This window comes from Homo sapiens, chromosome 16 (assembly GCF_000001405.40).
Source record: "Homo sapiens chromosome 16, GRCh38.p14 Primary Assembly".
NCBI classification, from domain to species: Eukaryota; Metazoa; Chordata; class Mammalia; order Primates; family Hominidae; genus Homo; species Homo sapiens.
In genome coordinates, this window is record NC_000016.10 from 46,498,732 (window position 1) to 46,513,354 (window position 14,623).

Below are 14,623 nucleotides of genomic sequence, written 5' to 3' on the forward strand. Positions count from 1 at the left end.
GCCTCCACCTCCCTGATCTCAGCTCCTACACTCTCTCCCCTACTCACTCCATTCCCACTATGTGTGAATCCTGTCACCCCTCGTTAGTTTGAACATGGGGACCCAATGCCAAACAAAGAAATCTCAGATTGCTACAATTATCTTTGTACTGGACAAAGTTATATCCAAATGAAATTAGTCATTGAGTCTTGAAATAAAAATTATGCACAAATTACTTGTAAAAACATTCGAAATAAATTACAAATGCCAGTGGTAAGAGTAAATCAAATATGGTTTTACTGATACTCACATCCGTCCCAAATTATATTTAATTAAAAGTGAATGCCGTCAAAGAGTTGAGAGGTCATGACAATAATGAAATAGTTTCAGATTTAAGTCAAACTGACATGAATAAAAATAAAATTACACCAACTTCAATATATAAGAAGCTCCTGAGGGAAAGTCTTATGAGATACAGCAGTACGCTTCAGTTCACCTGGGAAATCTGGACCTAACTGTCGAAATCACCCACCAAATTGAATCTTAATTTCAAAATATTCATTTCAGGTATGAGCATTTCCATTTATCTGTTTCATCATGGTCTCAAAATGTGGCCACATAAAGACATTAAAATTATTATTTCAGGCCCGTTGCGGTGGCTTACGCCTGTAATCCCAGCACTTTGGGAGGTCCAGGTGGGTGGATCACCTGAGGTCAGGAGTTTGAGACCAGCCTGGCCAACATGGCAAAACCCCGTTTCTACTAAAAATAGAAAAATTAGCCGGGCGTGGTGGCGCGTGCCTGTAATCCCAGCTACTCGTTAGGCTGAGGCAGGAGAATCGCTTGAACCCGGGAAGCGGAGGTTGCATTGAGCAAAGATCGTGCCACGGCACTCCAGCCTGGGCAACAGAATGAGACTCTGTCTCAAATTTTAAAAAAAAGGTATTATTTCAGCAGTGTAAGACTACATTATTGATATTAGTCTCTATCTATTAACAACTTGTAACTTAACCTCTCAATGTTTCATAGGTGACACTGTTTCTTTACTCAAAGCATCTTTCCAGTCTAACTTTTTTTGCTGGCATGTTTCTAGGCTGATAAAGCAAATATGTTTATAATACATATATTTTTATATTCAATGAGACTCATCATTTAGCAAAAACCAAATATTACTTTACATTTTCTTTCAAGAAGTTTGAAAAATATTTTCTTTCTCAATACTTACATTTCTTTCTGCTTTCTCTTTTTCATATTTATACAATCTTTTTTTTATGAAATCGCATTTATTGATCAAGTTGTTGTTTTTCTGCTCTAGTAGAAGACTTTGCTCTTCACTCTGAGCTTGATTTTTGACAATAGCATTAAATTGCTCTTGGATATTAATTATTGTCTCTTCTTGATTGTCGGCTTTCTTGTAAGCCTCATCCAGTTGCTGTCGAAGTAACAGATTTTCGTTTTGTATTTGAGATAATCTCTCCTCTAGAGATTCTTGCTTTTGAATGTATTTACTCACTTTGTCTTCTTCATTCTGAAACATTTGTTCAATTTCTTTCCTCCGACATTGTGATTGGGTTAGGTCTCTTTGGACATCTTCTAAAACCAATGTCTTTTCCTTTAGAGCATCTTTTGTCTGGTGCCACTTCATTTTGAGGCTTCTGATTTTATTTTCAGCATTAGAAAGTTTTTCAGAAAGCAGCTCATTCTTATCTTTTAGGTTACTCATATCAAAATTCATTTTTTCCTTTAAATGAAACCACTCTTCTCTTGTCCTCTGGAAATCACATTCTACATCTCTTTTTGATGCCTGACTTTGATCACGGTCTTGTAGAGCAGCAGCCAGTCTACAACGATATGATTCAATTTCTCTTTCCAGTCTCTCCTGGTTTTGGCTTTTATCCTTCAATTTAAAACTGGACATTTCATTCTCAGCTTTCAAAACTTCAGGCTGTATACTGTCCTGGAATATCATTGTTGCAAATGTTTCCTCTTTCAGCATCAAAGCATTTTGAAGGAAATCATTCTTTTCTTTCGCAATTTTAATGTCCTCAAGAAAATTCTTTTCCTTTTGCTGGTTCCAATTTTTCAGTGCATCTATTTCCAGTCTTAGCCTTGCAATTTCTTCCTGCAACATGCAATTTTTATGCAACAGATCTTTTTCTTTCTTATGCCCATGAGAAATCTAAATAAACAAAGGAAACTTTTAGCTAACATTCAATACAATGACATTTCATTACTTTCTCTGAAATTAAAGAATATCCTGCACATTTATACAATGAAAGCATTGCCATGAATGAATATCTAACTGGGAAAAAAAAGTTAAATTAAAACTTCAAACCTCATAGAGCATAAATTCTCCAAAGGTCAAAGATTTATTTAAAGACAATGAATCCATAAAAGTAAAAGAGAAACCACTAGAGAATGTGTAAGGTTCCCAGAAATGGAAAAACCTTTCTCAGAACAACAACAAACCCAAAGGCATAAAATAAAAGATTAAAAAAATTTACTACATTAAATATTGGGTTTACACTCTGATATCTAACCTATATACCACCATATACTAAGAGCCTTAGCTCTGCATATATTTGGACAGATGAAATTTCCCAATGTCCTTTAAGCTCCTTTTTCCTGAGAATATCCTACAGATATAGTATTTTTGTACCATTTTTATAGTCAGTTCTAAGAATGACATACGTGCATAAACGCTAAATATAAGCATTTCACTAAGCACTTCTACATATGTCACTGAACTCAATTATCACAATTCTGCAAAGGAGTGGTCAAAAAATAAGCAAGCTGCAGAATTTTCCCTAGGTTTTCTAACTCTACTTCTAGTGCGCCTCCACCAAATCACATTTATTTCTTTAGTATAAATAAATACAAAAAGAAGCCTTTTTATTTCAAAACACCAATAGTAAATAAGATAAAATTATAGAGCTTTGCTTAGAGAGTCATAAAATCATTTGCCATTGCAATAACTTCTATTTCCTCTTTATGATGTTTGAAAGAGTAATAAATGTGAAATGGGGGAAATATACTGAACTATTTTACTAGGAACGAAATACATATTAGCAAATTATCACTAGTTTATATTGTGGCACAACATTGTGTTCAAACTCTTTGTACTCAAATTAGACACTATTGGAGCAGACTGTTAATCTTCTCAAAAGTAAAAAGAAGAACATCCAAAATATGGTCTCTGAACTGCCTATACATTTTCTTCTTACCAATCAGTGGAAGTAATAAACTAACCCCTCCATTAATATAAAAATAAGATTAAATAACTTTCAACAACTAGAACATGTTTTGTTAGTAGCAAGGGTTTTGACATTATAGAAAGATCATTAATTCCTATGGAAAGTATCAAATGCTTCTGCTTTTCATGAGGGCAATATGAATATCACTACTTGACCATTGCAGACAAATGGCATTAAATTAAGAGAACATCATTTTATTCAGTGGGCCAAAGGCCAGAACCACCACCACCACCTCATAAAAGACAAAGACAAAAATTGTCTTCTTCCTTCTTTACAACTTGGATTTTAAACAGCCAGATTTAGAGGATGCGACATTGTGGAGCTTCAGGAACAGAAAGGAAGCTTCACCCTTTGTGCACTAAGCTATTCTTTTCCCCACTGTCTTTTATCTTTCTTTTTTATCTGTCTAGAGCTCAGCTTTCTACTTTAAAGTCATATACTAAATTTTTGGCTGAGGATTTATGCTACTTATATAAAAATATCATATATGCCATAACTCACCATACTCTATCAAACAATAGAATGTAGAGGTCTGACTCAACAGAAACATTTGAGAGTTATTAAAAATATGTGAAAGTATATATACTTCTCAAAAATATTTAAAATGCTTATAATATAATTATATGTTGCAAGAGTTGCAGTTAAACAGATACACTACAAAACATGAAAGCACAAGAAACAGTTTCATTGGCCACGAATATTTCTTACAACTCTCAAGACTAACACATTTTTATCTCTCTTTTCCGTTATTTCTTCCTTCCCATTGTATTCCCATTTTATTGCTAAACACATCTCATCTTTATGTAAATAGAAGGGACAACCCTAGGGCTATAATTTTAAGCAATTTTCTTTATGCTTATCCTGGTTCTGAAGGACATAGGCATACGGATAAATTAGTTTATGATTTCTTATACCACTTGGAAAACTTAACAGACTTTGCTTGATCAAGGTACAAAGATTAGAGAAAGTTTTTCTGAACTTCTATCATTTAGATAGCAGAAATAATCTATTTCTATGTACAATTACAGATTTAGATAACCCTATTTTACACATGAGTTTCTCATCAGTAGTAACTCAGAATGGATCAGATAATTGATAAAGAGAAAAAACAAAGAGTAGCAACAAGTAAACCTCCAGGAACTCTACTTGTAATATGTCTACTTCATTCTTAAACCTTTGCATATCTTGCTGTCATTTTCCTTGTAGATATATTTTTGATGTTCTGTCATGATGTAGTGGTAAAGAACTCACATTTTCTAATTCAGGCACCATGATTTTATAGTTGCTAGCACTGAGACTGTCACAGAATGGCTTCTGGAACAAGTCCTGTATTGCTTTTATTTTCTTCTAAGTGTCTATATCTGCAGAAATACTGTGGCTTTTTTTTTTTTTTTTTTTTTTTTTTGAGATGGAGTGTCGCTCTGTCGCCCAGGCTGGAGTGCAGTGGTGCGACTCAGCTCACTCCTTTAATTTGAATCATGTTTTATCTCTCTGGAGGGGGTACCCCATGAATCTAAAAAACATTTTGGATCACTAGGTAGAGGCATATGCCTGATGTCTAATTTGGTGCCTCATGGTATCTTGGTCATATTTTTTCATCATTTGCATATCAAACTCTTGACTTTCTTTCATTTCCATTGTAACAACTTCTGGGTCCCTTGCTTTCTTTTTTTTCTTTTTTTTTTTTTTTTGAGGAGTCTCGCTCTGTTGCCCAGGCTGGAGTGCAATGGCACGATCTCGGCTCACGGTTCCTTGCTTTCTTAGAGTCTCTATCATTATAAAAATTCTCCTCATCTATGTTAAAAACATGTTCATTATCTGGTTTGTTATTTTCACAGTCTAATTTATTTTCATTTAAATAAAGCTTAGAAGATTCCTGGCAAACATGTACCAAAAACCCAGAACATGAATGAGATATACACACATTTTTGAGACTGGGTTCCATGTGTTCAACAAAATGCCTGGAAGGCTACAAAGACAGACACTCCAGATGCATCTTTTTCCCTCACAAGTATATTATTTGTCCAATTGGAAGGAATTTCCTTTATGTTTGTTTCTCCTTTTGAGCTATCATGGAGTGGCTTCAGAAAAAGCAGTAATTTGTATTTTTCACAGATTTCACCAAACCTCTGATTTAACTCATTTGTGAGAAGTTTTAATTTATTTTCCCACTCTAATTTGCCTCATTTAATACACATTTCCTCAGACTTTTACACAAAACAGTCCTGAATATACAGACATATCCTCTCTATCCAATCCTTATTTTATTCTTGTTCTTGAGATATTTTTGGCAGATGCAAAAGGGGAAGATTAATTTGCTTGTTTTGTTTCTCAGAAGTTATCTTTGTCAGAGTGCATGTTTTTGTTTTTATTTATTTTTTTATCATACATATAATTTGGTTTATTTTCATGAATATCTTTCTAAGGCAATGGGTAATTTCTCCAAGGTCATAATTAATGATTACATACAATTTCGCTCATATACTCTATTTTATCGGACTATCATTTACTTAGTTGCCTACTATTGGGCATGCTATTGTTTCTAACATTTCATTATTATTAATAGCACAAAGCAAAAATGAATTGTAAAAATTGGTTGTAAATAAAAATGAAATGCATTTTGAATTGTAAAACAAAAAACAAAACCTTCCAACATTTAAACACAGACAAAATAGACTCAGAACAATTTTGAAAAAATTCCCCCAGGTGCACCAGTTACCAACACCATCTGCTATACATATTCATTTTCAAACAATTAATTGTCATGGTCTCACTCTGTTGCATAAGTTAAGAGTGCAGTGGTGCAAACGTGGCTCATTGCAGCCTCAACCTCCTGGGCTCAAGTGATCCTCTCATCTCAGCCTCCCATATAGCTGGAAACACATGCACATACTACCATGCTTAGCTAATTTTTTTAAAAAATTTTGTAGAGATGGGGCATCACCATGCTGCCTAGGCTGGTCTTGAACTCCTGGGCTGAAGCAATCCTCCCACCTCAGCCTCCCAAAATACTAAGATTACAGGCATTAGCCACTGTGCCCAGCAGGGAGCATGTTTTTAAAATAACTTTATTCTCAATAAAGTATAAAGAAAAAAATTTAATTAAAATTAAAATTTAATTGTTAAACTTCTTCATGTATGTTTAGCTTCTCCCAAATCACAGGGAGAAGTAAAAAGTAATTTGCCTTAGCTAAAACTACAAGAAAAAAACAAACCAGCAAACTTAACTTTGGCACTGTTGTTTGGACTAAATTCATTTTGTGTTATATCTACCAAAACATGAATTAGCAGATGGTTAGTAGTGTTACAAAAGTGTCCTCACTTGAAAAGATTTTACCTCAGCATACACTAATTAGTGAGCACATGCGGTGCATTTAAGTACTTTTTCTAAAGATTACTAACTGGACTGTAGGCAAACTTTGTTAGAAGCCAAAATCAATACAAATCAGAAAGAAAAGCAAATTCTCAAATTATAATTCAAATTATATTCTGTAATATGACACTCTGATGTATCCGGTTAAGTCTGCTTAAGTCCAGTTCTAATATATTCTAATATCCACCAATGATGATGGATTAAAAATTTTATACTATTTACTGACTTCCTGCATTGAAATAAGTTAGAAAGTTATTGTTCATATCCTAATACCAAAGGTCCCATTCTGCAGAGTATGGTTCTCTTAATAAACAGTTAGGTTGATTTTATGACCCAGGTTTCTTCCTAAACATGACCTGAAGTCAATGAGAGACCGTGAGGCAGAATACATCTTTAACCTTGGCATTAGTGACTGGCAATATAAAACTGCACATTTTGAACCACTGGCCATCATGACTCCTTTAACATGAATCCAACTCAATGGCCATCACCCTTAAATTGTTCATAACTTCTGTTGCTCAATAATATGATTTAATAATTCATGTTACTTTCTTCATCATGCAAACATGTTAATAGAGATGAAAGAGTAAAGAAAATTTTGAAAATGTTTTCTCTCTATTCCAAGGGTAAAGATGAGCTATAAGTTACTATAGATTTTAAAAATCTTTTAAGTTTTATAGCTAGTTAAATGTATTTAAAATTCAATACTAAATAGTAAATTAGAATCTATTGTTATCAAAGGCTAATCTGAAAGGTAATTTCATTTGGACTACCCTACATTATTAAAGCAAAGAACATAATAGTCAACAAGAAATTTAAATGAAATTGTTGTATACTTGTAGCTCGTTGTTTTCACTTTCTTCAAGTCTTTCTTGCTCTTCCTCTGATATCACTGCTAAGACTTGTTCTGCTGAAAAAATTATACATTTAGTTAAAATGAACTACTCACAACAGGTAGATTAAACTATAGTCTTTATGAAAACAGATTAAAACTAATATTTCATTTTATTCTATAAGTTGTGAATTTAAAGGAAGCTTAATCTTTAGCAGGATATTTACTTCTTTAATAAATACTCCTAAGTCTTAAAACTTCAAGAAACCACCTGGGGAGACACTAGATGTCACCAGGTTGAAGATAAACACACATGTCAAACATTCACTCACAAATGTATCTACCAAACATAAATAAAGAAAATCATCACAAAGAAAATAAAATTTTAAAATGTGAGCCCTGGGGCCTTAAGTGAACATTGGTGATACCCCGGCAGGACTCCTCCTAGGTCTGTGGTGGTGGTGGACATGGGAAGATATTCCTCTGCCTGGGGAAATGGGAGGGAAGAGTGGAAAGGACTTTGTCTTGTGGTTTCAGTGCCAGCTTAACTGCAGTAGAATACAGCACCAGGTAGATTTCTAAGGTTTCCAACTTCAGGCCCTGGCTCCCGGACAGTATCTGTGGCCCCACCTGGGGCCTGAAGGGACTCTCACTACCCTGAATGGAAGGACATAAGACTGGCTGACTTCACCACCAGCTGATTGGGAGCCCTACAGGCTTGAGCAGTCTGATGCAGTGAAATCCCAGTGGTGGTGGACACAGAGGTGCTTATATAAATCCTCCCCCAGCCCCAGGCAGCACAGAGACAGACTCCATTTGTTTAGGAGATAGTAAGGGAAGAGAACGAGAGTTTATGTCTGGTAATTCAGAGACTTCTTCCAGCTCTTATTGAACAACCACCAAAAGCATGTCTCTATGAGGCTGCAAACATGACAGAATTACTGGGCTTAGGTTCCCTGACCCCTAATGCAGATATGGGTGCAGTGACCAAAAGCATAGACACTATACCCAAGTCCCTTTTAGTACTTGGAAAGCCTTCTCAAGAAGAATGAGTACAAACAAGTCCAGATTGTGAAGATTACAATAAACACAAAGCTCTTCAATGCCCAGACACAGACAATCATCCACAAACATAAAGACCATCCAGGAAAACATGACCTCACCAAGTGAACTAAATAAGGCACCAGGGGCCAATTCTAGAGAGACAGAGATATATGACCTTTCAGACAGGTAATTCAAAACAGCTGTGTTGAGGAAACTCAAAAACATTCAAGATAAGACAAAGAAAAAAATTCCAGAACTCTATCAGATAAATTTAGCAAAGAGATTGAAATAATTAAAAAGAATCAAGAAGAAATTCTGAAGGTGAAAAATGCAATTGATGTACTGAAGGATGCATGAGTCCCTTAATAGCAGAACTGATCAAGTAGAAGACAGAACCAGTGAGCCTGAAGATAGGCTACTTGAGAAAACACAGTCAGAAGATACAAAAGAAAAAGGTATAGAAAAGAATGAAGCATGCCTACAAGATCTAGAAAATAGCCTAATAAAGCAATTCCAAGAGTTAATGGCCTTAGAGAGGAGGAAGTGAGATAGATGGGAGAAGAAAGTTTATTCAAAGAAATACAAAGTTCTTCCTAAACTTCAAGAAATATATCAATATTCAAGTCCAAGAAGGTTAGAGAAAACCAAGCAGATTTAACCCAAAGAAGGCTACTTCAAGGAACTTAATAATCAAACTTACAATGATCAAAAATAAAGAAAGGGTCATTTATCCCTGCATCAAGCAAAGAGAAACAAATAACATACGATGGAGCTGCAATACAACTGGAAGTAGACTTTTTGGTGGAAAGCTTACAGGCCAGGAGAGAGTGGCATGACATATTATGACACATATTTAAAGTGCTGAAGGAAAAACACTTTTATCTTAGAATAGTATATCCAGTACAAATGTCTTTTAAATATGAAGGAGAAATAAAGATTTTCCCAAACAAAGGCTGAGAAATTTAATCAATACCAGACCTGTCCCACAAGGAATGCTAAAGAGAGTTCTTCAATCTGAAACAAAAGAATGTTAATGAGCAATAAGAAACAACCTGAAATCAATGAATCTTACAAAACTCACTGATAATAGTAAGTACACAGACAAACATAGAATATCACAACACTTTAATTAGGGTATGTAAACTACTCCTATCTTAAGTAGGTTTGAAATCCTCATAGTAACCTTAAATCTAAAAACATACAATGGATACACACACACACAAGCAGGAAATTAAAACATACCAACAGAGAAAATCACCTTTACTAAAAGGAAGACAAGAAGGAAGAGAAGACTACAGAATGATTAGAAAATAAATTACAAACTAACAGGTGTAAGTCCTCACTTATCAATAACAACATTGAATATAAATAACTAAACTCTCCAATCAAAATACATAAATAGAATGAATGAATTAAAAATAAACAAGACCCAATGATCTTTTGCCTACACATAGACTGAAAATAAAAACATGACATATGATATTCCCTGCCAATGAAAACTAAAAAAGAGAATCAGTAGATATATACTTATATCAGACAAAATAGACTTCAAGAAAAAAACTGCAAGAGACAAAAAAGGGAACTGTATCATGATAAAGGGGTCATTTTAGCAAAAGGATATAACAATTTTAAATATATATGCACCCAACACTGGAAAACCTAGATAAATAAAGCAAATGTTACTAGAGCTAAAGAGAGACAGAGAACACACCCTCAATACAATATTAGCTGAAGGCTTCAATACCCCACTTTCAGAATTTCACAGATCATCCAGATAGAAAATCAACAAAGAAACATCAGACTTAATCTGCCCTATAGGCCAAGTGGACCAAATAAATGTTTACAGAACATTTCATCCAACGGCTGCAAAATACACATTCTTCTTCTCAGTACGTGGATCATTCTCAAGAACAGGCCATATGTTAGGCCAAAAAACAAGTCTTAAAACCCTCAAAAAATAGAAACTATCAAGTATCTTGTGGGACCACAATGGACTCAAACTAAAAATCAATAACAAGAGGAATTGTGGAAACTACACAAGCACATGGAAATTAAATAACATGCTGCTGAATAACCTGTGAGTCAATGAAGAGATTAAGAAAATAAATTGAAACTTTTTCTTAATAATGGAACAAGAACCAAAACCTATATGATACTGTGAAAGCAGTGCTAACAGAGATGAGTACAGCTATGAGTGCCTGCATCAAAAAGGAGACAAAACATTAAGTAAACAACCTAACGTTGCATCTTAAAGAATTAGAAAAGCAAGATCAAACCAAACCCAAAGGTAGCAGAAGAAAAGAAATAACAAAGATCAGAACAGAAATAAATGAAATTAAAGCAAACAAAACAATACAAAAATCAACATAACAAAAACTTGATTTTTTGAAAAGTTACATAAAATTGACAAACCTTTAGTCAGACTAAGAAAAAAGAGAGAAGACCCAAATAAATAAAATCAGAGATGAAAAAATAGTCATTCAAAAACAAGCAATCGGGAAAGGATTTCCTATTTAATAAAAGGTGCTAGGAAAACTGGCTAACCATATGCAGAAAACTGAAACTGGACCCCTTTCCTTACCTTATACAAAAGTCAACTGAAGATGGATTAAACACTTAAATGTAAAACCCAAAACCATAAAAACCCTAGAAGAAAATCCAGGCAATACCATTCAGAAAGTAGGTATGGGCAAGAATTTTATGACGAAATCACCAAAAGCAATTGCAACAAAAGCTAAAATTGACAAATGGGATCTAATTAAACTAAAGAGCTTCTGCACAGCAAAAGAAACTATCATCAGAGTGAACAGGCAACCTACAGAATGGGAGAAAATTTTTGCAATCTACCCATCTGACAAAGGTCTAATATCCAGAATTTACACGGAACTTAAACAAACTTACAAGAAAAAAAAAAAACCATCAAAAAGTAGGCAAAGAACATGAACACACACTTCTCAAAAGAAGACATTTATGCAGCCAACAAACATATGAAACAAAAGCTCAACATCACTGATCATTAGAGAAATGCAAATCAAAACCACAATGAGATACCATCTCATGCCAGTCAGAATGGCGATTATTAAAAAGTCAAGAAACAACAGATGCTGGCAAGGCTGTGGAGAAATAGGAACACTTTTACACTGTTGGTAGGAATGTAAATTAGTTCAGCCCTTGTGGAAGACAGTGTGGCGATTCCTCAACGATCTAGAACCAGAAATACCACTTGACCCAGCAATCCCATTACTGGGTATATACTCAAAGGAATATAAATCATTCTTTTATAGAGCTACATGCACATTTATGTTTATTGCAGCATTATTCACAATAGCAAAGACATGAAACCTACCCAAATGCCCATCAATGATAGACTGGATAAAGAAAATGTGGTATATATATGCCATGAAATATTATGCAGCCAGAAAAAGGAATGAGATCATGTCCTTTGCAGGGACATGGATGAAGCTGGAAGCCATCATCCTCAGCAAACTAACACAGACACAGAAAACCAGATATCTCATGTTCTCACTCATAAGTGGGAGTTAAACAATGAGAACACATGGACACAGGGAGGGGAATAACACACACTGGGGCCTCTCAGCAGGAGGATGGGAGGGAGTGCATCAGGACAAATGGCTAATGCATGCAGGGCTTAATACTTAGGTGACAGCTTGATAGGTGCAGCAAGCCACTGTGTCACACATTTACCTATGTAACAAACCTGCACATTCTCCACATATATCCCAGAACTTAAAGTAAAATTAAAAAAAAATAAAGGAAAAGCAGTCATTACAACTGATTCTGTAGAAATTCAAAGATTGTTAGAGGCTACTGTGAAAAACTATATGCCGATAAATTGGAAAACCTATAATAAATGATTAAATCTCTAGACACACATGACCCACTGAGATTAAACCATGAATAAATCCAAAACCTGAACAGACTAAGAATAAATAATGAGATTGAAGCCAGCAAAGTTTAGGGGACCCAGCGAAGTCTCCCAGCAAAGCCTAGGACCTGATGGCTTCACTGCTAAATTTTACCAAATATTTGAAGAAGAAGTAATACCAATGCTACTCAAACTATTCTGAAAGACAGAAGAGAAGGGAATAATTCCAAACTCATTATACAATGCCAGTATTACCCTGATACCAAAATGAGACAAAGACACATCAAAAAAAGAAAACTACACATCAATATCTCTGATAAACATTGATGCAAAAAATCCTCAACCAATACTAGCAAAACAAATTCAACAACACATTTCAAAAATTATTCTTCATAACCATGTAAAATGTATCTCAGGAATGAAAAGATGATTCAATATATGCAAATTAATCAATGTGATATAGCATATCAATAGAATGAAGAATAACAATCATATGATCATTTCAACTGATACAAAAAAAAAGCATTGGGTAAAAATGCAATATCCCCTTATAATAAAAACCCTCAAAAAACTGGGTATAGAAAGAACATACCTCAACACAACAAAAGTCATATACAACAGACCCATAGCTAGTATCATAATGGGGAAATCCTGAAAGTCTTTCCTCTAAGATCTGGAACATGACAAGAATGTCCACTGTCACCAATGTTATTCAACATAGTACTGGAAGTTCTAGCTAGAGCAACTAGACAAAAGATAGAAATGAAGAACATCTAAATAGGAAAGGAAGAAGTCAAATGATATAATAATATAATCTTATGTTTGGAAAACCTAAACACTTCATTAAAAAACTATTAGAAATGATAAATTCAATAAAGTGGCCGGATGCAAAGTCAACATACAAAAATCAGTAGCATTTTTAGATGCCAAAAGTGAACAATCTGAAAATAAAATCAAGGAAGTAATCTATCTCATTTACAAGAGCTAAAAATAAAATTAAATACCTAAAAATTAACATAATCAAAGAAGTGCAAGATCTCTACAATGAAAACTGTAAGTCTTTGGTGAAAGAAAATGAACAGGACACCAAATAATGAAAAGATATTTCATTTTCATAAACTGGAAGAATCAGTATTTTTAAAATGTTCATACTACCCGAAGCAATCTACAGATTCAATGCAATCCTTATCAAAATACCAATGACATTCCTCATAGCAATAGAAAAAAACTGTCCTAAAATGTATATGGAACCACAAAAGACCCAGGATTGCCAAAGCTATCTAGAGCAAAAAGGAAGAAACTGGAGGAATCACATTACCTGACTCCAAATTATACTGCAGAGCTATAGTAACCAAAACAGTATGGTACTGGCATAAAAACAGACATATAGACTAACACAACAGAATAAAGAAGCCAGAAACAAATCCACATACCTACAGTGAACTCATGTTTGAGTTCATACACTGGGGAAGAAGAACATACACACTAGGGAAAAAGATAGGCTCTTCAATAAATGGTGCTGGGAAAACTGGATATCCATATGCAGAAAAATGAAACTAGACCTCTATCCCTCACCATATACAAAAAGCAAATCAAAATAGATTAAAGACTTAAAACTAAGTGCTCGAGCTATAAAACTACTAGAAGAAAACATTGGGGAAACTCTCCAGGACATCATTGTGGGCAACAATTTTTTGAGTAATATCCTACAAGCACAGGCAACAAAAGCAAAAATAGACAAATGGGATCACATCAAGTTAAAATGCTTCTGTACAGCAAAGGATACAATCAACAAAGGGAACAGACAACCCACAGAATGGGAGAAAATATTTGCAAGCTACCCATCTGACAAGGGATTAATAACCAGAATACACAAAGAGCCCAAATGACTATATGGGAAAAAATCTAATAATTCAACTTAAAAATCGGCAAAAGATCTGAATAGACATTTCTCAAAAGAAGACATACAAATGGCAAACATGCATATGAAAAGTTTCTCAACATCATTGATCATCAGAGAGATGCAAATCAAAACTATAATGAGATGATGTCATCTCACCCCAGTGATCATGACTTATAGCCAAAAGAAAGGCAATAACAAATGCTGATAAGGATGTGGAGAAAAGGGAAACCTTGTATGCTGTTGGTGGGGATGTAAATTAGTACAACGACTATGAACAATAGTTTGGAGGTTCCTCAGAGTACTAAAAATAGAGCTACCACATGATCCAGCCATCTCACTGCTGGGTATATAC

At 34.5% G+C, this 14,623-nt stretch overlaps 1 pseudogene across 1 annotated transcript in view; it reads right to left on the reverse strand.

The window, feature by feature from the left end:
* Positions 1-14,623, reverse strand: part of ANKRD26P1 (ankyrin repeat domain 26 pseudogene 1) — a 99,761-nt pseudogene that overhangs the window by 29,395 nt on the left and 55,743 nt on the right. The window contains exons 10-11 of the transcript NR_026556.1: positions 7,443-7,516; positions 1,205-2,158 (exon numbers count right to left, since the gene is read on the reverse strand). The product of NR_026556.1 is annotated as an ankyrin repeat domain 26 pseudogene 1 (transcript). The remainder of the gene's footprint in view (positions 1-1,204; positions 2,159-7,442; positions 7,517-14,623) is intronic.